This window comes from Homo sapiens, chromosome 12, assembly GCF_000001405.40.
Source record: "Homo sapiens chromosome 12, GRCh38.p14 Primary Assembly".
NCBI classification, from domain to species: Eukaryota; Metazoa; Chordata; class Mammalia; order Primates; family Hominidae; genus Homo; species Homo sapiens.
This window is the reverse complement of record NC_000012.12, coordinates 30,944,054-30,965,754: the sequence shown is the minus strand read 5'-3', so window position 1 is coordinate 30,965,754 and position 21,701 is coordinate 30,944,054. Positions and strand designations below refer to the sequence as shown.

The following is a 21,701-nucleotide window of genomic DNA, read 5'->3' as shown; positions in this document are numbered from 1 at the left end:
CGTCCATACACAGAGTAAGAGTTGCTGCTCTTTGGGGCAGGGCGAGGACTGAGTGAGTTGATGTGCATGAATGTCAAGTGCAGCGCTTGCTCGGCACAGAGTTCAGACTACCGGGACTTTGCAGGTTGCTGTAGTGAGGATAGAGGGAGGTGGCTCTAGTGAATAGTGGCCATTTGTGTTCTAATTGGGCTCTGGGAGGAATGCAGGGCCTGTTTCCCAGTGCTGCAGGGGACCACTGGCCTTCAGTGGCTCCACAGAAGCAGGACAGATGGCTCTGGGTCAGAGGAAGGCGCTCGGTGGGGGCTTCTGTATTCTTTCTTGGGCTGTCCAGAGGTGAGTCCTGTCCTCTCTAAACAAGATGACCCGACGGAAGGAAGGAGGCAGGTGAGAGCACGTGGCTTGGCAGCCTGCTCATGGGCAGACCTCCAGGCGTGAGGGCCAGAGGCTCAGCCTGAAGCCTGAGGCTAGGCTGAAGGCCCTGCTTGCTAACAGGTGCAGAGCCGGACAGGACACAAACAGGCTTGCCGACACTGCAGAGGAGAGGGGTTCTTTCTCTGGGCCCAACTGCACTGATCCCCATAAGCCTCATGGCTGGTCAGTGCCACACAGAGGGAACATCCCCGGGCTGCGCTACATGCCTGGTTTTATTCAGTCACGTCACGTGCCTTCATCCAGCTATGTTGGTCAGACCTGGGATGTGCTACGTGGCTCTCAAGGACCTCAGTTGACCGACCTGCATCACCCTGCTGGAAATCCTCATGGTAGGCCCCATGTGGGGGTGGGTGGTGGCATGGTTGGCTCTCAGCACACCTGTCCCACCTGCTGAAAAAGAGCTCAAAACCCAAACTCTGGGGGCCTTCACTTTAGGAGACGTAGGAGATAAGCAACCAATTTTAACACACGAGCCTAATTTAGATTCTAACTCAAATGTAAACACAACAACAACAGTTTATGGGTCAACTGGGAAGATGTGAAACTGCTTGGTTATTTCATGATATTAAGGAATGACTGTTAATTGTTTTAAAGTGTGATAATGGTAATGTTATCATGTTTTCTAGAAGAGGGTCCTTAAGTTTAGAGATACACACTGAAACTCTAACAGATGACATGCTGTCTGGGACTGTTTCAGAATCACCCTGGGGTTAGGAAGTGGGCAGGGTGCAGGTGAGAGAGTGGACGGAACCAAGATCGGCTATGAGATGGTAATTGTTGAACTCTGGGTGAAGGGAAGATGGAGCTTCATGAAAAACACTCTTTATTTTTGCATATCTTTGAAAATTGCCATAAAAAAACCTAGAAAGAGGAAGAGGAAGAGGAGGAGGAAGAGGGAGAGGGAGAGGAGAAGGGGAAGTAGGAGGAAAAAGAGAATAAGAAGGAAACGGGATAAGGAGGAGGGGAAGGGTACAGAATAGGAGAAGGAGAAGGAGAGGACCAGGAAGAATAGGAGAAGAAGAAATAGAAGGAGGAAGAGGAAGAGGAAGAAGGGGAGTGAGAGGAGACAGAGATGGAGATACGGAGAAGGAGCTGCCACTGCAGCTACTGAGACGCCTGCTTGCTTGGGTCCTAAGAACCTGGAGACCGTGGCAAACCCCAGACCCAGGAGCAGCCACCCCTTCTCGGGCACTCCCACAGCCTCAGCCCCTCCCACTCCAGGGCTGGGGCCCCTCTCACTTGCTGGAAACCTGACTGGGTGGTGCAGGGCTCCCCATCCCTGCAGAGCACAGGGCGGGCACTGACCGTGGAGAGGCAGCCCTTCCGCTCCCAGAGGATGGCACCGAAGCCCAGGAAGCCGGTCACCATGACAAGTACGCCCGCAAAGATGAGGATGTAGGCGGAGGCGGCAAAGGTGCTGGAGGCCAGGACGCTGAGGTAGCCACTCTTCTCCACCAGGGTCCAGATGCCCACAGCCAGGACGGCTGCTCCCCCGACCTGCAGGAGACCACCGGGTTAGAGCAGGGGGTGGCGGGGGCCTCGGCAGCTGCTATCCGTTCAGTGCCCACAGGGTGCCAGGCACTTCTCTTGCACTGGCTCATTCAGTCCTCCAAAGGAGGCGAGAATGGTATGGTTACCCAATTTTACAGATGAGGAAATCGAGGCTGAGAGAGGTTAGGAGACTTGTCCAAGGTAAGCAACCTGCAGAGCCAGGTTTTGAATCCAGGTCCGACTGTGAATTCGGTGCTTTTTACCCTGGTGGCCTATTGCGTATGAGGCCAGGGGAGAGGACTGCAGTTTCAGGGATGATCAACGTATCTGAGTCCCTTTGCTTCTCCAACTTTTCACCTCCCCAACTCCTGCCACCCCTGGCTCCTATCCCTTCAGAGCACTTCTTCCCTCTGTCCGCACTTCCCTGGTGGGGCTCGTTCGAGCACCGCCCCTTGTTTAATCCTTATGTTTGCCCATTGGGGAAGCACAGCTGGGCTTTTTATCCCTACTCTACGAGGAAGAAACTGAGACCCACGGAGGAAAGGTAAATTGTCCAAGGTCCTGCCTGTAGTTGGGGGCAGGGTTAGGGGCAGAGACAGGAGGAGAACTCAGAGCCCAGGGCCTGCCCACTCAGTCACACTGCCTCCATGATTGAAGAGTCAGGGTTCTTGACAGGCTGGAGCCGCCTGGGACTGCAGGAGGAGAAACTTTTTTGCTAATTGTCTGATTCCCCTTTGGTCCTGAGAAGAGGGGAGGGATAGGACCCTCCTGATTTGCAGATAGGGGGATGCCTCCTTAGAAACTGGAGTACTTGGGAAATATAGCAGGGATGGCTCGGCTTGGCTGGTTCTATTTGCAATGAAGCCAAGTAACTCTTTCTGTGACTGTTGGACCCAGAAGGGCATAATGTGTGTGTATGCACACATGCACAGCATCTTCAGGGTGCCAGATGGGGAGTATGTGGGTGTTTGCCCAGGATTTGGGGACAGGACCCCTGGGACCTCTGACCGTCTCTGCCATCTGCTCCTGGGAATGTGGACTTCTGCCCGCTAGTCTCCCTGCCCCCATTTAAGGATGGGTCTCTTTTCTCTAATGGGTGTGGGATGCTTCCTCAAGGAGTCCTGGGCGTGGTCAAAGCTAGAGAAGTGCCCTGGGCTCTGTCCATGCCCCCTGAGCCTTGTCACTGAAAGGAGCTCCCCATCTGCCCCAGGAAGACTCCATATAACCTACCCTGTCATTTCCCAGTTCTCTGTTCTGGGCAGTCACAGACATCCGTTGAGCAAACGAACATGTATTTACCATTTTCTCTTCTGAGCTTTGCAACAGCTCTGTGAGCATGGGGCAGGGTGGCAGGGCACATATTCTGCATTTTGCAGATGAGGAAATTGAGGCTTGAAGAGAATAAGACTGTGCCCAAGATTACACCATGAGTTTTAGAATTGAGATTCAACCCCATGTCTCCTGAGAGCAAATCCAGGACTCTGTCCCCAGATCCCACAGACTGGGCTGGGCCTGCTCCTCTACTCTGTGTTTTTAATAGATACTATTTCTTCAAAGTGCCATTTAATCTCCATTGGCACCTCCACCAGGTGGAAGAGCCAGGTGGAAGGACACCATCTGGGCTACAGCAAACAGAATGGGAGTGGCTATCACGCAGATTTCTTCAATTCCGTGATGCACACATTTTTCTCTCACATTTTAACATCTCTAAAATTGGGATGTATCTTATGACTGATGGTATTTTATAATTGTACTTGGCAGTAGTTTTTCTTAGTGGTACAAAAAACAATAGTGTGTCTTACCACTGATGATATCTTAGATTCAATGAAATCCTAGAATAGGTTTTAAAATTATCTGTGGGTATAGGTTATCTGCGGCTCACACAACCTCCATGACCAGTGAGGGATTTCCTGAGTTTAGGTCAATAAAATTGTGTAATGTGAGGGTTTGCAGCCAAATATCCTGCACGGAATTCTTTTTGCCCCCTTCAGCATGCCTGGAAGGCTTGGGTGAGGGTCCCAACTTTGCATAACTAGCGGTGTGACCTAAACATAGTCCCTTAACCTCTCCGGACCTCAGCTTCTTCATCTCTTAAATCAGGGAGTTGTATTAGACCAGTGGTTCCCAACCTGTAACTACTGGGAACCCCTTTGATTACTTTTCCCCAGGATCTAATGTTTTGAGAGCCTCCACCCCGTCCCAGTCCTTAGGCTTAGCTGTAAGGAATGAGAGGGTTTCATTCCTTTGGAAGACCTGCTTGGGACATGGTCATCTCTTTAGAAAACAAGCTTTTCTCTGGACAGGAAAATTAACACTGCTCACTGTTGGATGGGTCACCAGAGGGGGTCACGGGAGGGCAGAAGTCAGCAGCCTGGGTTCTAGTTCTGACTGTGTCCCTGACTAACCACATGATTGTGGGACAGATATGCAGCCCCTCTAAGCCTCAGTTTCTTCATCTGTAAACTGGGGGCACTGGATGGGACCATATCTGAGGTCCCTTCCATATGGTTAAACTGTCCCTGCTGGTACCAGAAGTCAAGCTTCTGTCAAAGAACCTCCGGCAAGATGGTTCTGAATTAATGGCTCATGGCTGTCACTCAAGCCGCCTGGAAACTGCCTAAGTCAGCAGAAAGCAGCAGAAGAGGCAGGAAGAGGGACTTGATGGAGTGGGGAGAGATCTGACCCCAGTGAACTATTCAACAACCATTGGCATACAGTTGATTCAACAGTATTTGGCTCTTTACAGAATCTAGCGTGGTTTTCCATGAGGGTAATAACTACATTTTTCTTTTTTTTTTTTTTCCTCGCTCTGTCGCCTAGTCTGGAGTACAGTGGTGCGATCTTGGCTCACTGCAACCTCCACCTCCCAGGTTCAAGCAATTCTCCCACCTTAGCCTTCTGAGTAGCTGGGATTACAGGTGTGCACCACCACGCCTGGCTAATTTTTGTATCCTTAGTAGAAAGGGGGTTTCATCAAGTTGGTCAGGCTGGTCTTGAACTCTTGACCTCAGGTGATCCACCTGCCTCGGCCTCCCAAAGTGCTGGGATTACAGGTGTGAGCCAGCGCGCCTGGGCAATAACTACATTTTTCAAAGCCATAGCCTGTGGCCGACTAGCCAGCAAGCCCTGCAGAGGGTGAAGCCAGGCGACAAGGATGCAAGCTGGCCAGGAGGGGCGGAGCAGGTCACCCCTGTTGTGTAATTTTAGGAACTTTATGTTCATAGGAAAGAAACATGATGGGGTGAAGCATTAACCTGAGTGGCTGCACATGCCTGAGGGGCCGAGAGAAATAAGGCAGCAGACCTGGAGGAAAGCAGGCAGAGGGTATAAAAGTAAATGTAGGCGTTTTTCTTTGTCTCGCTACCATAGGGCTTCTGCAATGAAGGAAGGAAAGGGATGGGGCAGGAGCCAGGAACACTTGAATCCCAATAAGGAAGGATCCTCTGCGGAGGGGAGTTCTCCACCCTCAGTGAGGAGGAGCCCATGGCTCAGGATGCGGGAAATGCACAGGGTGATGGGAAGTGTACAGGGTGATAGTAGACTTTGTGTTTACTGGCCACCTGCTACATGCCAAGCCCCACACTGGACTGAAAAGTCTCTGGGTTGGACAGGAGCTCACCCATGGGAACCACACTCATCATCTGTGCTCCTCCTCCCTGCTCAGTCTCATACATGGCGCCGCGCCATCACCCACCCACCCACCCACCCACAGACACCACAGGGTCACTGTAGGCTCCTCCTTCTCTCAATGACAACCATGTGCCAATTCCCCTCTGCCCTCAAACCTGTCTCCATCTCCCCGCCACACTGTCCACCTCGGTTCCCCACCTCAGTTGGCTCCCGGCTCCTGGCTCCTGTTCCGCCCACAGGCTGATCCCCCAAGGCACCCCCGGCTGAGAAGTCCCCACCAGCTCCCATGCCCCAGGCACCAAGCCCAAAAACTCTTTTGCATGGCCTCGGTGCTCTTACTGTCTGGCCTTAACCTGACTTTTTGGCATCATCTTCTGGTACTTTCTTCCCCCCACACCTCGGTTTTTTTTTTTTTTTTTTTTGAGACAGAGTCTCACTCGGTCGCGCAGCCTGGAGCACAGTGGCGTGATCTCGGCTCACTGCAACCTCCGCCTCCCAGGTTCAAGCGATTCTCCTGCCTCAGTCTCCTGAGTAGCTAGGATTACAGGCACGCGCCACCACGCCTGGCTAATTTTTGTATTTTTTTTCCTGGGTTTTAATCACTTTGAACTAAGTAGTTGCTTCTTCTTGAAAACAGTGTGGTTACCTAGTAACTCAGGCACTATTAGCAGAGTGGTAAACAGCGTGAACTCCAGGGCGTGGCGCGGTGTCCGAGTCCAAGCCTTCTGTTTACTGGCTGTGTGGATTTGGATAAGCAACACAGCCTCTGTGGGCCTCAGGGAGGCTCTCTCTTTTTCCTGCCCACCTTTCACGCATTGTTCTCTCTGCCCTTTCTCTTCCGTTGAACTCCTACACACCCTCTAAGGCCCATTTTGAGATTTTGAGTGTGGCACCTGCTCTGTCCTGGGCAGGTGAGTTCATCCCTCTCCTGCATGCCTGTGGTGCTGCTCACCTCACAGCAGCCCTTGACACTTGGGGCAGGGAAAGTCCCCTCACTCCCCTCAGAACGCGGCCCAGCACACGGCCTGGTACCCGGGAGCCGCCCCAGTGAGTGTGAGACTCAGTGGATGAGGCTCTGTAGAGGGCTGTGGAAATGGCATCTGCTCCCCTACCTGCCTCTGTCTGCCGAGCTTCTGGGGCAACAGCTAGTGTTTCTCTTTCCTGCTTTATGGCTGTTTTGATTTTTAAAGGGGCAGTCCACAAAGTCCCAGTAGTCCCAGAGAGGAATAGGCTTTTTCTCTGGGTCATTAAGAAGAGGCTCCTGGAAAGGCTGGGGTTGCGCCCTCGGTATCTTAAGGTCAGACTGATGCTTGGTTACTCTCATACTTTCTTTCAACCAATACCCACTGTGCACCTGCTACAATGATGCCACGCTCTTGGGCCATCAAGGGACCCATGCCTGACACTGCCACTGCCCCTGCCCCTGCCCCAGGATCACTTGTAGGACACTGGGTTGAAAGACCTGACTTAGTAACCACCAGAGTGACTTCTGCTATGACGGAGAAGTGAATGGGTCTAGTTTGGGGAGCAAACACAGCATGGGGGCTCAGGGAGAGGACTGGGAGACCAGGTCTGAACAAGACTCAGTTTCTTTTACAGAATGGCTTCCCATTCCCACATCAGAAGAGTCAGCTGAACCTTAGACTGCAGCCCCGAGAGAGCACAGCTGAGCCCTATACCCACATGCAGGCAGGGTGGACGGCACCCCAGTCCCACGCCCAAAATGCCGAGCTCTCCAGGAGGGCACATGAAAGCGTGCATCAGGTGCTGCTGCTCACCCTCCTCATGAATGACCTTCTCTGAGTGCCAGGCATGCATTTCTCCCCAGCTCTGCCCATGCTCCTGCTGCCTTGGTTTATGGAATCTTCAAGGATAGGCTTGTTATGCTAAGGGCTATTTCCCACTTTGAGGCATCCTTGTTTTTGGCTTTCTGGCTTTAAAGAGCCCTTGATAAAATAAATCAGAACACTACCTCCTCTGCTGTCTTCCCCAGTCCCATCTACCCCTATAACAAGAGCAAAATCTCATGAGTCTTACTGAGGGGTGGAGCTGGGAGGGAACATGAGATCACCTGTTCATCTTCCAAACCCAGCTCAGAGCCCAGAGGAAACCTTCCTTGGAGCTGTCCCTGCCCCCCTCTCCCAGCAAATCATTCTGTCCTCTGTACCAACTCCAGGTCTTGCACGTTTCCATAGTTACACTCATACTCTATTTATTTTATTGGTTACCTTGTGTGCCTCCTCTTTTAGCCTCTTGATTAAACTTCGTTCATCTTAATATCCCTAGCAGAGGGCTACACATGTAAGGAAGGAAGGAAGGAAGGAGGGAGGGAGGGAGGGAAGGAAGGAAGGAAGGAAGGAAGGAGGGAGGGAGGGAGGGAAGGAGGGAAGGAAGGAAGGAGGGAAGGAAGGAGGGAGGGAGGGAGGGAAGGAAGGAAGGAAGGAAGGAAGGAGGGAGGGAGGGAGGGAAGGAGGGAAGGAAGGAAGGAAGGAAGGAGGGAGGGAGGGAGGGAGGCAGGACAGGAGGATGGAAGGAAGCAAGGGAGGAAGGGAGGGAGGGAGGGAGGGAGGGATTGATTGATTTCAACCCCTTTTATATTCTGGATGGAGAAACCAAGGCCTAGAGAGAAGTGGCTTTTCCATAGTCACACAAGAAAGCCAAAGGAAGCATGGAGAGCGGAAATTAGGAATCCTAATGCTCAGTTTAGTGCCCATTTAACCAATTGGGCTGCTGACCCACAATGAAGCTGCTTGGCCGGGAAGCAAGTCATTGGTGTCTGGGCTACAGCAGGCCTAGAGTCCTGAGCTACAGCAGAGCAGCTAGAAGGGGTTATCCCAGGCTTCATCCTGACTTGTCTCACCTGCCACGGCACTGTGCAGACCAAATGCATATCCCCCTCGACTGTGACCCTGTCTCCCAGCAGATCCTGGCAGCACAGAGGGGCAGAAGACCATGGTGTGGGGGGGGGGGGGGTCCCAGGCCATTCAGCAACTCAAAAAGGGGTGCAGCAGAAAAGCCATCACCTGTTCTTTCTTAGATGGCAAGCCTGGAAGGTGGGCAGCAGCCACGTTCAGTGGGATGTTGATGTACGAAGAGAAGGGCTTTGAGACTCGGCAGAAGGTGCTTCCCTCCCACGGCCTCCCTGACTCCTGAAGTGATGCTCTCAAGTCATCGCACTCCCCTGCTGGGGTTCAAGTCCTCCATCTTCTCTGCCACCTGTCTTAGCCCCATGTATCCCCGGTCCCCGGGGAAATACCAAGGCCTCAGCTAATGCTCAAGGGCAGGACACAGCTTCTGGAGCAGAGGCAGCCTCTCCAGGCAAGGGAGCAGCTGCTTCCTCAGTGCTCCCCATAGCCTGACAGAGTGCCTGGGGGGCTAGAAACGTTTTGATTATTAACACAGCCAAGCAGCTGAATAAAATAATAAGTTAGAGAACACCATTGCAGGGGCGATGGGCACCGTAGGGAGCCATGGAAGAAAATGGTAGGGGAAAGAAACATCTCCTGGGTGGCCACAGAGGAAACCCTGGACCACATTTTCTTTTACGGTCCCAAAGGAGGCATGAAAGTGTCAGCGTTTTTGGTTCCTTCCCTGCTTTGTAGGATCATCCAATCGACATCAGCTTAACTGAAATTCTAGGTGGCAGGGGCCAGGGGGAGGTGGGAGTGAGGGACAGGGTGATGGGGAAGGATTGCCACCTGAAGTCTGCCCTCGTTCAGGTGGAGGTGAAGATGGCTCTGAATTTTTCAAACTTTGGAATGTGACCCATTAGGGTTGTGATATAAGTTTAGTGGGTTGTAAGCTGCACTAAAAACGAAAAGAAGGAAAGAATCAAAATAGAAAAAAATATCTGAGTGCATCACACACCATAAGCGTAAAGCTTACTTTGGTGAACAATGTTCCACGTAACTATTCTTTATGCTTCAGTGTATATCTTACATGGGACAAGATCCCAAAAGTCTTAAAGCCAGCGCTATTGGAGACTGAAGCTGAACCTTGGTCTCTTGTTTACAATGAAGAGCTCTACCATCCACCATCCACATGTCCCAGATGCCTTTTTAGGTTAAGGACCCAATCTTGACAATTTCACCTTATAAATCCCTTCACTCTCTGCAAATATTTAGATCCCCATTGACACTCCCACAATGTAAGTCACCACCGTCTCCTGCCCTGATCAAAGCAAAGTCTAGAGGGAATGTCAACAGAGGCTGTTCCTGGGGTGGCCAGTGGTTTGGGTTGGACTGGGTCCCCCAAAAGATATGTCGAAATCCTTACCCTTGGTACCTGTGAATGTGGCCTTATTTGGAAATATGATATTCACAGATGTAATCAAGTTAAGATGAGGTCATTAGGGTGGGCCCTAATCTAATATGACTGGTGTCCTTGTAAGAAGAAAACATCATGTGAAGACAGAGACACACACGGACAACAGTGTGTGATGACAGAGGCCTTGGAGACTATAGTGATGCAGCCACAAGCCAAGGAGTGCCAAGAATCAGCAGCCACAACCAGAAGCTGGGGTGAGGCGAGGAAAGATTCTATCCAAGTCTCATAGGGAGCTTGGCCCTGTGACACCTTGATTTTTGACTTTTAGCCTCCAGAACTGTGAGAGAATAAATTTTTGTTGTTTGAAGCCATCCAGTTTATGGCATTTTGAAATGAACTTAATGAGATAAGAACAATTTTTATTTTACGATACTTTTTAATATTTTAGAGGTTATCTGTAGTGGATACATAAGACTTTTATAATCAGGAAATAAATAGTTACTCTTAAAAAGAAATGCTTACTTAGCAAGAATCCTAATCATCCTATTGGATTTGTCTCTCAGAATGGAAACCATCTCTACCACACAGTTTACTATCCATATCAACACAGCTTTATTATTGCACCATCTTCATCATCACAACTTCACTATTGCAGGAAACTCTTGCCCAGGAAGATAAAAGTGACAAATTATTTTATTATTCCTTTCAGGAACTTTGCAAACAACATTTAAACAAATAGCAGATCGCACAACTTTTTAACAGATAGCATCTAATGACTGGTTTATTCTCCAAGACTCTTCAAAACTCTTGCCTTGCCATGTCTACCCATCCTAAACTCTCACATCATGGTCTTTCCCAATCTTAAGCAAGCCCCTGCAAGAAAGACCCTGAAAACTCAGACATGTCCCCCACTTCTGCATTTGCCTTTCTGAGATGCTTCTAAGACTCTGTCAAGTGTCTTCTCCCTCACCATGGTAGCAGGAAGCCCAGCTATGCCTTATCATGGGTTGATTTGGTGGTATTTTCAGGCATTTGACATCTAATATATTCAAAATACTGCATTTACTGAATGCAACCCCAACAGGCTAGAAATTATCATTGAATTGCAGCTGGGGAAGCAGATTCCTTGAAGTTAGGTAAGTTGCCCAAGGCTCCACCATTAGTAGTCAGCAGAGCATGGGTACAGCTGCCTGCAAAGCCTGCACTCTTGTCACTCTTCTACCTTCTCAAATTTAGTGAGACTGTAATAACAAATATATATATTCCAGTGTCTATTTTTGGGAACTGATGGTATTCTGCTCCCAATTACCCAGATGATTGCTTCAAGTGGACAGACTACACTCCTCTGGAAGACCTCACCCAGGCAGGCTCCTGAGGAGAGTTGCCATAGAGATTATTTTCATCACAGGCAGCAGTAGTTGGAGCCTCCAGGACTTCTGTTTCTCTGCCCTGGGCCTGGAGAATGTTAACCATGAAAGGTGAATGGATTTCAGTGGAAAACAAGTTATTATTTCAGGCAGTCACATTTTCCAAAAGGCGCTGGTGCAACAAGTTAGTGGGGAAGAAAGAACCGGACCCTTTGTACAGCAGGGCTAGAACACAAAGCCTATTGTTATGTTTGTGCCTCTATTCAGATGCCATGTGGTACAAACTCCATGCCAACCTGCAGACCCAATTCTTTTCTTCTTTCTCAGTAGCAAATGTACATATTTGCTTTAAAGTGGGAAGAATTCACCCATGGTTGATCGTTGATCTTTGATTTGGAAGATATCAACCTCAAAGTGGTGACACAAAAAAACAAAAGGTGGCTTGACTCATTCAGTGCTCGGGGAAGAGGATGTGTGTGCAGAATTCACTCACCCAGAAGAAGAAGTTGAAGACAAAGAGTAAATACTTCAAGTAGATGATCAGCCAGTCGTCCTGCTCAGTCTTATAGTGGGCCATGGCTTCTGGGCCTGCAGAGAAGACACATATGCTGGGCCGGGGAATCACCGAGAACCACCTTGTCCTTCCCAGAGCCAGAGCATCTTGGCAAGGCTCCCTTCAAAGGGCTCATTAACCTATCTGCCGGGGGCTTTGAGGCTCTGCATGTGCAGCATGGAGCAAAGATGTGGGAATTGCTAAGGAGACCAAATAGAGGTGAATTGGGGCAGAATCTTCCAGACCTTTAGATGTCAGTTTTGTCCTCTTGACAAAGGTCTAACCTACAAGTCTCCCACAGAATTTGCGCTGGTCTTACTGTGTTCTTAATCTCTTTTCCTGTCTCACCAGGGTTGCAGGACACAAGTTTACCTGTCCTACACGCACACACACACTCAGCATCACTACTTTGCATAGGAAACTTGCACTCTGCATCATTTGAACAGGACTCTGCATCCACAGGTGTGGCCTGAGCCCCAGAGCAGAGCACCTGTGTTGGAAAGGGCCCCAGTGATCACCCAGTCCACCCCACCTGGCCGCTGCAGCTTGACTTTTCAGATGAGGAAGCAGGCCCAGACAGGCCTGGTGGTTTGGCAGGAAGAAGCACAAGAGCCTCTGGAGTCTGACTCTCTGGGTTCACACCCTGATCTGTCACAAGATGTGTGATACTTTGGGCAAGTTACATGACCTCCCATCCCTCAGCATTCTCATCTGTAAATGGGGATAATAATGACACATATATCATAGGGTTGTTTTGAAGATTAAATGAAATAATCTATGTGAAGTGTTTAACATAGTCCTTGGCATGTAATAAGTGTTCAATGTTAGCTATTATTACATGTCAAAGAACTGGGGCTAGAGCCTAAGACTCTAGTCCTAAAACTCCCGTCTTTACCCCAGCACCATGCTGTCCCTCGCTCTGATGCCCACTGATGGACTCTCTGGGAAGTATGACATCAATGGTGGTGATACAGGCAGAGAGGGCCTACTGTGCCTGGTAATCCTGTTTGCTTCTCAGTCTGAACCTCAGAAAGTCTGAAGCCTTTGTAGTTTCCTCTTCTCCTCGAGCTGCATGTGCCCCTGGGCACCTGCACACCCACACTCACAGAGTAGTTGCTCTTTAAGAAATTACCCCCATTTTGGGAACCTCTTTTTATTTCAGAACCATAAGCAATGAGGCATGGCTTATGCTTATTCAGGCAGACGATCAGCCAGTCGTCCTGTTCAGTCTTATAATGGACCATGGCTGCTGGGCCTGCAGAGAAGACACACATGCCGGGCCAGGGGAATTTAGCATTTCCATCTCTTCCTCCATTATTTCCAACCCCCAACTGGACCATCCTTTCATCCTATTCTTGCCTCCTGGGCTGGTGCGTGACCACGCCCCAATTATTTCCTCTGAGCCACTGTTCTGCCTCTTATTTCAAGCTCATGGGCTCACTGAGACAGGAAGAAAGGAAGAGGGAAAAGACAATGTGGCTGACTTATTTGTGATTTCTATTTGCAGACGTTGAAGAAGGTAATTTAAGACTGCTAGTCTTCTCGTTAAGAAAACACAAAACTCATTTTTCTCCAATTCAGTTTTCGAGGTAGGGTGGTGGAATAAATATAAAAGGAGAAAAAAAGGAAGCCTGTAAGAAATGTCCGTGGATGGGGTCGGCCAGGGGATCTAATGGGAGCGATTTCACGGCCATTATGCAGTCAGTCCTGACAAGAGACCAGGTGCAGCGTCTCCTGGGCCACCGCAGGCCCTTAGCAAGTGGCAGAGTTTGTGGGGCCTGGCCACTCCTGTCTGCAGTCTCCCTCCCCTCCCAGGCAGGGCCACTGGACTTCTGCCCCAGAGCTTTCTCTCTACTTGCAGCAAAGAGGCCTGATTCACTCACTCAAACCACAGAGTCAGGGCCCTGCCCTCTAAAGGAAAATTGTATTTTTTAAAAAGAACTTCAGGCAGAAGACAAGGCTTAAGGAAAAGAAACCATTCTAATGGTAAAATTTCAGTCATTAGTGGTGGGGAAAATAGAACCACAAAATGTCAGGGTCAGGGGAAACCTTTGGGCTCACTTAATTCAATCTTCTGCAGAAAGAATGAGGAATTTTACATATTTAAGATGCATATTTAAAAATGACTTTTCTAAGGTCACATGGCTAATCTGTAGTTGAGTTTCCTATTCTCCACCATTCAGTGCTCCTTTCCCCTAACACCATATTTGGGGCCCAGGGTGGCAGAGGCTCCAAAGAAGTGTCAGTACCAGCCTGCAGCCAGATGACTGGATCTGAAAGCTAGCTTTGCCATTTTACTGGCTGTGTGACCTTGGGCAAGTTATTTAACCTCCCTGTGTAGCTAGTATTTATGGAACACTTACTATGTGCCAGGTACAGAACTAAGTGCTTTACACTCATTATTTCGGTCCATCTTCCCAATACCCCTATGAAATAGGGTTATTTCCATTTCATAATATAATCGAGGTTTAGACAGGTTAAATAATTCATCCAAAGTCACATAGCAAGTACATGACAAAGCCAGAGCTGAATAAAGAATCTCTGCCTCTGGGCTCAAGCTTTTACCCACTGTGCAATACTCACAGGACCAGATCTACCAGGGCAAAGGAGGAAGGGGAGCGACCAGAGACTGCTGGTTCCCCTAATATTTGTTAGAATATTTGTTAGAATAGAACTTCTCAATTTTAGTTAGATACTTAGTCACCTGGAACAGACAACATTTCCCAGCCTCCTGTCCTGCTAGGTATAGCCAGGATTCACTGCTGGCCAGGAAATGGTATATAAGAAGTGGTATAGGCAACTTCTTACAAGGATCATTTTTTGATATATGTTTCACACACATTTGAAAAGAATGAGAATCCTGTCATTATAGGGTACAGAATTCTGTATGTGTCAGTTAGATCAAATTCGTTAATTGTACTTTTCACGTCTTCTATATCCTTACTGACATGTTCTATTGGCTATTGAAAAAGGTATATTACAGACTCCCACTATGATTGTGAATTTATTTATCCCTCACTTAATACTGTTAATTTTTGCTTCATATATTTTGTAGATATTTTATAGGTTGTAAAGAAATTTGGAGTTGTGATATCATTCTGGTAGATCAAATTCTTAATCATTAATAAATGCCATTCTTTATCTCTAATAATCAGAGGTATCCTCAATGTGTGTGTGTAGGGGATGTCTCTCTTCTCCCTTTCTTTCTGTTGGTGGGAATGCTGATGTTATGGCTGGAGCTCAAGCAGCCATCCTGGGCCATGAGCTGGAAACCATGGGTTGAAAAGGGCAGGTCAATAAGTTCAAGGAGTCTGGGTCTCAGATGATTTTAGAGCTGCCATACCATCCCTGAGCTGCTTACCTGCAAACTGAGTGTACATGAGAGAAAGACAAACTTGTAGTTTCTTTCAGCTACATGTTTGAATATGCTATTGCTCACAGCTAACATCACCCTGGTACAGCAGAGGAAGCAGTGGGTACTAAGGGGTGTGAGAGCATCCCATGCTGAGGCACAGCAGGTCTCACACAGCAAGACCAGAGACAATGCCGTGCAGTGGTGGCCAAGCAATTCTGACTGTACAACTGCCCCCGCTAATTTATTGATAAATATTATTCACGTACTATTGTCAATCTATGTTGCAGATATTCAAAGTTTAATTCTGCATTGTTTAAAGGAAAAAATAATTAGGGATACAGATTCTAGTAAGTCCTCTCTGCACCCCAGTGTACTGTCTGTCTCCACTTTGGAGGCCACTGGTACAGAGTATGAGTGGAGGGAGTGAGAGCTGAAGGGTATGTAGGGGGTCAAGTCAAGAGCGACCTTACATGCCAAGCTCAGGGACTAGGATTCACATCCTGAAGGTGATGCCAACCCCAGGATGGTGATGCTTAAGTCCAAGAAAGAGAAGGGGGTGGGGGGAATGGAGAGTAGGGGACAGATGCCTGAACAGCATAGAGAGGAGGTCCCATCAGGCAGGCAGTGTGTGTAAGAGGCAGGGGAGGAAAGATTCTAAGGAGGAGCCCTGCTGTCTAAAAAGAGAGCCACTGGAGGAAGAAGCAACTAGGCAGCAAAATGATGTGCGAGGGGGAGGGTAGAAGGAGAACCAGGGGAGTGCAGGGTCCTGGAAGCCAGGGAAGACAGGGTGGCCCACAGTGCCACATGCTGTCAAGAGGTGTCAGTCAAATGAGGACTAGCAAGCGCTCACTTTCATCTGTGGAGGACAGGTGGAGGGTTAGGGGTGCCCCATGAGGTGGGAGGAAATGAGACCTGGAGGTGGATATTTTCAAATGACAAGGCCAGGAGGGAAGCAGCTAGGAGGCCTGGGAAAGGAAGCTGATATGGTTTGGCTGTGTCCCCACTCAAATCTCAACTTGAATTGTATCTCCCAGAATTCCCATGTGCTGTGGGAGGGACCCAGGGGGAGGTAATTGAATCATGGGGGCCAGTCTTTCACATACTATTCTCACGTACTATTCTCATGATAGTGAATAAGTCTCACGAGATCTGATGGGTTTATCATGAGTTTCGGCTTTTGCATCTTTCTCATTTTCTCTTGCTGCCACCATGTAAGAAGTGCCTTTTGCCTCCCACCATGATTCTGAGGCCTCCCCAGCCATGTGGAACTGTAAGTCCAATTAAACCTCTTTTTCCTCCCAGTCTCGGGTACATCTTTATCAGCAGTGTGAAAATGGACTAATATAGTAAATTAGTACCAGTAGAGTGGGATGTTGCTGAAAAGATACCAGAAAATGTGAAAGCAACTTTGGAACTGGGTAACAGGCAGAGGTTGGAACAGTTTGGAGAGCTCAGAAGACAGGAAAATGTGGGAAAGTTTGGAACTTCCTAGAGATTTGTTGAATGGCTTTGACAAAAATGTTGATGGTGATATGAACAATAAGGTCCAGGCTGAGGTGGTCTCAGATGGAGATGAGGAACTTGTTGGGAACTGGAGCAAAGGTGACTCTTGTATGTTTTACCAAAGAGACTGCCAGCATTTTGTCCGTGCCCTAGAGATTTGTGAAACCTTGAACTTGAGAGAGATGATTTAGGGTATCTGGTGGAAGAAATTTCTAAGCAGCAAAGCATTCAAGAGATGACTTGGGTGCTATTAAAAGCATTCAGTTTCATAAGGGAAGCAGAGCATGAGAGTTTGGGAAATTCGCAGCCTGACAATGCAGTAGAAAACTTCATTTTCTGAGGAGAAATCCAAGCCAGCTGCAGAAATTTGCATAAGTAATGAGGAGCCAAATGTTAATCCCCAAGACAATGGGGAAAATATCTCCAGGGCATGTCAGAGGTCTTCATGGCAGCCCCTCCCATCACAGGCCCAGAAGTCAAGAAGGAAAAAGTGGTTTTGTGGGACGAGTCCAGGGTCCCTCTGCTGTGTGCAGCCTAGGGACTTGGTGCCCTGTGTTCCAGCTGCTCCAGCTGTAACTAAAAGGGGCCAACATAAAGCTCGGGCTGTGGCTTCAGAGGGTGGAAGCCCCAAGCCTTGGCAGCTTCCACGTGGTGTTGGGCCTGTGGGTGCACAGAAGTCAAGAACTGAGGTTTGGGAACCTCTGCCTAGATTTCAGAAGACACATGGAAACACCTGGATGCCCAGGCAAAAGTTTGCTGCAGGGGCGGCGCCCTCATGGAGAACCTCTGCTAGGGCAGTGTGGAAGGGAAATGTGGGGTTAGAGCCCCCACACAGAGTTCCTACTGGGGCACTGCCTAGTGGAGCTGTGAGAAGGGGGCCACTGTCCTCCAGACCCCAGAATGGTAGATCCACCAACAGCTTGCACCATGCGCCTGGAAAAGCTGCAGACACTCGATGCCAGCCTGTGAAAGCAGCTGTACCCTGCAAAGCCATAGGAGCAGAGCTGCCTAAGACCATGGGAACCCACCTCTTACATCAACATGACCTGGATGTGAGAGCTGGAGTCAAAGGAGATCATTTTGGAGCTTTGAAATTTGACTGCCCTGCTGGATTTTGGACTTGCATGGGCCCTGTAACCCCTTTGTTTTGGCCAATTTCTCCCATTTGGAATGGCTGTATTTACCCAATACCTGTACCACCATTGTACCTAGGAAGTAACTAGCTCACTTTTGATTTTACAGGCTCATAGGCGGAAGGGACTTGCCTTGTCTCAGATGAGACTTTGGACTCTGGACCTTTGGGTTAATGCTGAAATAAGACTTTGGGGGATGGATGGGAAGGCATGATTGGTTTCGAAATGTGAGGACATGAGATTTGGAGGGGCTAGGGGCAGAATGATAAGGTTTGGCTGTGTCCTCACCCAAATGTCAACTTGAATTATATCTCCCAGAATTCCCATATGTTGTGGGAGGGACCCCCGGGGAGGTAACTGAATCATGGGACCAGTCTTTCACATACTATTCTCGTGACAGTGAATAAGTCTCATGAGATCTGATGGGTTTATCGGGGTTTCTGTTCTTGCTTCTCTCTCATTTTCTTTTGCCACCACCATGTAGGAAGTGCCTTTTGCCTCCTGCCATGATTCTGAGGCCTCCTCAGCCATGTGGAACTGTAAGTCCAATTAAACCTCTTTTTCTTCCCAGTCTCAGGTATGTCATTATCAGCAGCATGAAAACGGACTAATACAGAAGCACTTTTGTGTTGTAAGGAAGGGAGGCTGGAGCATGCCTGGTGCACTGTGAAAGGCTCCAAAACCCACTTAGCTCTGCTGCCTCAAGGGAAAGGGGACAGGGCTGAAGGAGGAGCTACTATTTCTAGCAACCACTTCCAGCCCTCCTCCTGGCTGTCCTAATGGACTCCCCTGTCTAGGACCTTGTTGTACCCCACAATTTTTCTTTGCCTAGAGAGTGACACATGAGATGGGCATGGTAATGGCTGCAGTAGACCCTGGACAGAAGCAAACATATGCCACTTGATGTGGGCTTATCTGCCCCTGCCAGTGAACGGAGGGACCTGGGCTTTGGATAATCCCCTGAAATTGTTTTCACTGAGCTCTGGGGAGTGTCTTCTGATTTCTGGGAAGCAGACGGGCCTTCCTAAGTAGGTTATTTCTGTTCACAGGAATTGGGCTTCTTGAACCAATGGGAGGAGGTGTCCCTAAGGGGCAAAAGCCAGACAGTAGGGGGCAGGCAAGGCAGAGACTCCCACCTGGGGGTGGTAATCAACACTGGACACAGAATCACGGACAGCCCCAGGGACAGCCCCAAAGGAGAGGGACTGTACCCCCAGACCCCCCACCTCCGTGAAGCTGGTCTTTTCTTTGGCCTCTGAAAGGCCCTGCTGCATCCTTGCTCTGGGCTTTCATTCACGCTGTGATCTGAATCAGAAACACCTGCTCCTCTCTGCCTGTCTGAATGCTCCAGGGCTCAGAGGAATCCCATCCTCTCTGAAGGTGGCTGTCCCCACCTTCCCAGATCCCCAGAGCAGCACCCGGTGCCCAGGAACCACAGCAAGTGATCTGGGTCCTTTTCAGTACCATATTTACTTAGCAGGCTGATGGAGTTTGATTGGGTAACCCTCCGAGCCTGTTGGCTTGAGCTGGGGCAGCTGAACCACACAGTGCAGTCAGGACCCTTTCTCTGGGTCTGCTCTTTGCTGCCTGTGCTTGGTAAGGCATGTTACTGTCTTCTCGGGGTGTTTGTTTTCCCAGCTATCAGTAGAGTGGTTCTCCTGAGCAAGTCTCAGAATTATCTGGAGGGTTTGTTAAAACACAAATTGCTGGGTCTACCCCCAAAGTTTCTGATTCATTAGGTTTAGGGTGAGACACTGGAGAATTTGCTCTCAGAAGGGTGACTAATGATCCCCATTTGCCCAGGACAGGGGGATTTCTTGGAATATGGTAGTGCTGTTCAGTGTTAAACCAGGATGGCTGGCCACTGCTCCCAGATGCTGCTTGTCTCGGAACCACACTTTGAATCAATTTTCTTCAAGGCCCCTTTCAGTTCTGAAAGTTCAGGACCCTGCAGTGTAAGTATCCTTCACATCTGAAACAAACTAACTGAGCGGGGCGGAGCACAAGGCTGGCCCTGTCCTCTCATGCAAACTCACACTTAGGACACAGTTCCTGTTGAAATGTCAAGGATTTCCCAGATATCCTGGTAATGGGCCTCAGCGGGCCTTCTTCCAGGCTGAGGTTCTGACTGCAGAACAAAGCTGGGATTCAGGGGGAGCCAGCAGGCCCTGGGGGCCATTAATGTCATAGACAGGACCCACACCATACGACATCTCAGAAAAGCAACCGCAAATGCCTTGATGGTGAGGTGATGGATTTTGGCGACTTTCTTCAGGGCCGGATGTGTAATGTCATGGGCTGTGAGACTTGGGGATCATTGTGTCTTCGGCTGCATCCCCTCTTCCCTAAGTGAATGAGGCTCAAGCACCGAGAAGACAAGGGACATGTAGAAAGGGCCCAGCTGGCTGGCCAGATGTGCTGGGAGTCCTAGTGAACAGGGCAAGGCTCCATCCAGGGCCAGCGACCAGGAGCAGAGGGACCACAACTGTTGGCTGAGGGGCAGAGCTGAGTCCTTTAATGGTGATGGGTGGCAGAGAGTTGGGGAGTGCTTGGGAGCTGATTTTTATAAATCAGACATAAATACAAGGCATTTTCAGGCCCTGGGCCAGCTGCATCCTTTACACACTCAAACATGTATGGAGTCCCCAGCAGGTGCCAGGCCTGGTACTTAGAACCACTGGACTTACTCCTTCAGGAGCTGACAGAAGCCATGGAGGATGGGCCATAGGCATATAAACAACTTCCAGACACTGGGGAGCGCTTTCAAGATGCTGGCCTGTGTTGATAATGGGAACACAGAGGGAGGGGTGTTCATTCTGCCAGACAGGGGTGGTGGGGGCAGGGGGATGGCAAAAGGAAGGGGCATTTAATCTGGTCCTTGAGGACAGGCAGGGTTTCTGAGGGCAGAAAAGGAGGAGGGGCTGCCCAGTCAGATGGGGCAGTGTGAGCAAAGGCCTGGGGGAATGGCTGGGCAGCATGGGCCAGTGCAACAGGAAGCACTGGGAAGTCAGGTTCGGGTTAGGGCCTGGAACAGTCTGGTTGGCCTCACTTAGTTGTGACTTTCCTCCCTTTCTCCACATCCTCTACTCTTAGGATCCTATCAGCTTTTTAGCAAAAGCTCCCATTAGCAAAAGCTCAGGTTGGGGGACTCTGACTCTCTATTCCCTAAGAGGGGAGCACCCCATACTCAGGGAGCACCCCATACTCAGGGGAGGGCTTCTGGGGAACTTGGTGCTTCTAAAATAAAAACAAAGCTGGCATATTTCACTTTAAATAATGTCTTCCAGGTTCAACCATATTGTCACAAGCAACAGGATTTCCTTCTTTTAAAAGACCAAACAGTCTTCCATTGTGTATATATACACATTCTCTTTATCCATTCATCTGTTGATGGACACTTAGGTTGATTCCATATCTTGGCTATTGTGAACAGTGCTGACATGGACATGGGAGTGCAGATATCTCTTTCACATACTGATTTCACTTCCTTTGGATATAGACACAGAAATGGCTTATGTTAAGCGAAATAAGCCAGGCACAGGAAGACAAATAACATATGATCTTACTCACATGTGAAATCTAAAATTGTTGATCCCATAGAAATAGAATGGTGGTTCCTAGGGGCTGGGGGATTGTGAGGGGGATTAGGGAGATGATGGTCAAAGGGTACAGAATTTTTAGACAAGAGGAATAAGTTCAAGAGATCCATTGTACAACATGATAACTATAGTTAATAATATATTGTATTCCTGAAAAATACTAAGAGAGTGAATGTTACATGCTCTCACCACAAAATGATAATTATATGAAGTACTACCTTTGTTATTTAGACTTAGTCATTCCACAATGTATATATGCTTCAAAAATCATGTTGTACATGGTAAATACATACAGTTTTATCTGTCATTTAAAAAAAAAAGAAAACTCTCCACAAAACTAGTGTGTTTGCTATGGGGGTAAGCTAGACTCCA

At 48.9% G+C, this 21,701-nt stretch overlaps 1 protein-coding gene across 6 annotated transcripts in view, besides 1 other annotated feature; it reads right to left on the bottom strand.

Moving 5' to 3' along the window:
- TSPAN11 (tetraspanin 11) overlaps window positions 1–21,701 on the bottom strand; it is an 89,755-nt gene that overhangs the window by 50,748 nt on the left and 17,306 nt on the right. For 5 of the 6 annotated variants that reach the window (XR_001748709.2, XR_001748710.2, XM_011520679.3 and 2 more), the window contains exons 2-3: window positions 11,680–11,774; window positions 1,738–1,929 (exon numbers count right to left, since the gene is read on the bottom strand). Coding sequence is in view for 4 of the 6 variants with exons in the window: in XM_011520679.3 (XP_011518981.1) it covers window positions 1,738–1,929; window positions 11,680–11,763 (276 nt within the window). In the remaining 2 variants the exon portion in view is untranslated. The remainder of the gene's footprint in view (window positions 1–1,737; window positions 1,930–11,679; window positions 11,775–21,701) is intronic. The other variant, NM_001370301.1, reaches the window with a different exon arrangement.
- Window positions 424–924: an enhancer, noted in NCBI's record as "H3K4me1 hESC enhancer chr12:31117766-31118266 (GRCh37/hg19 assembly coordinates)". NCBI's record gives its function as "activates a minimal SCP1, AML or CMV promoter by ChIP-STARR-seq in naive H9 embryonic stem cells {active_cell/tissue: H9 hESC(naive)}" and the evidence as "EXISTENCE:reporter gene assay evidence [ECO:0000049][PMID:30033119]".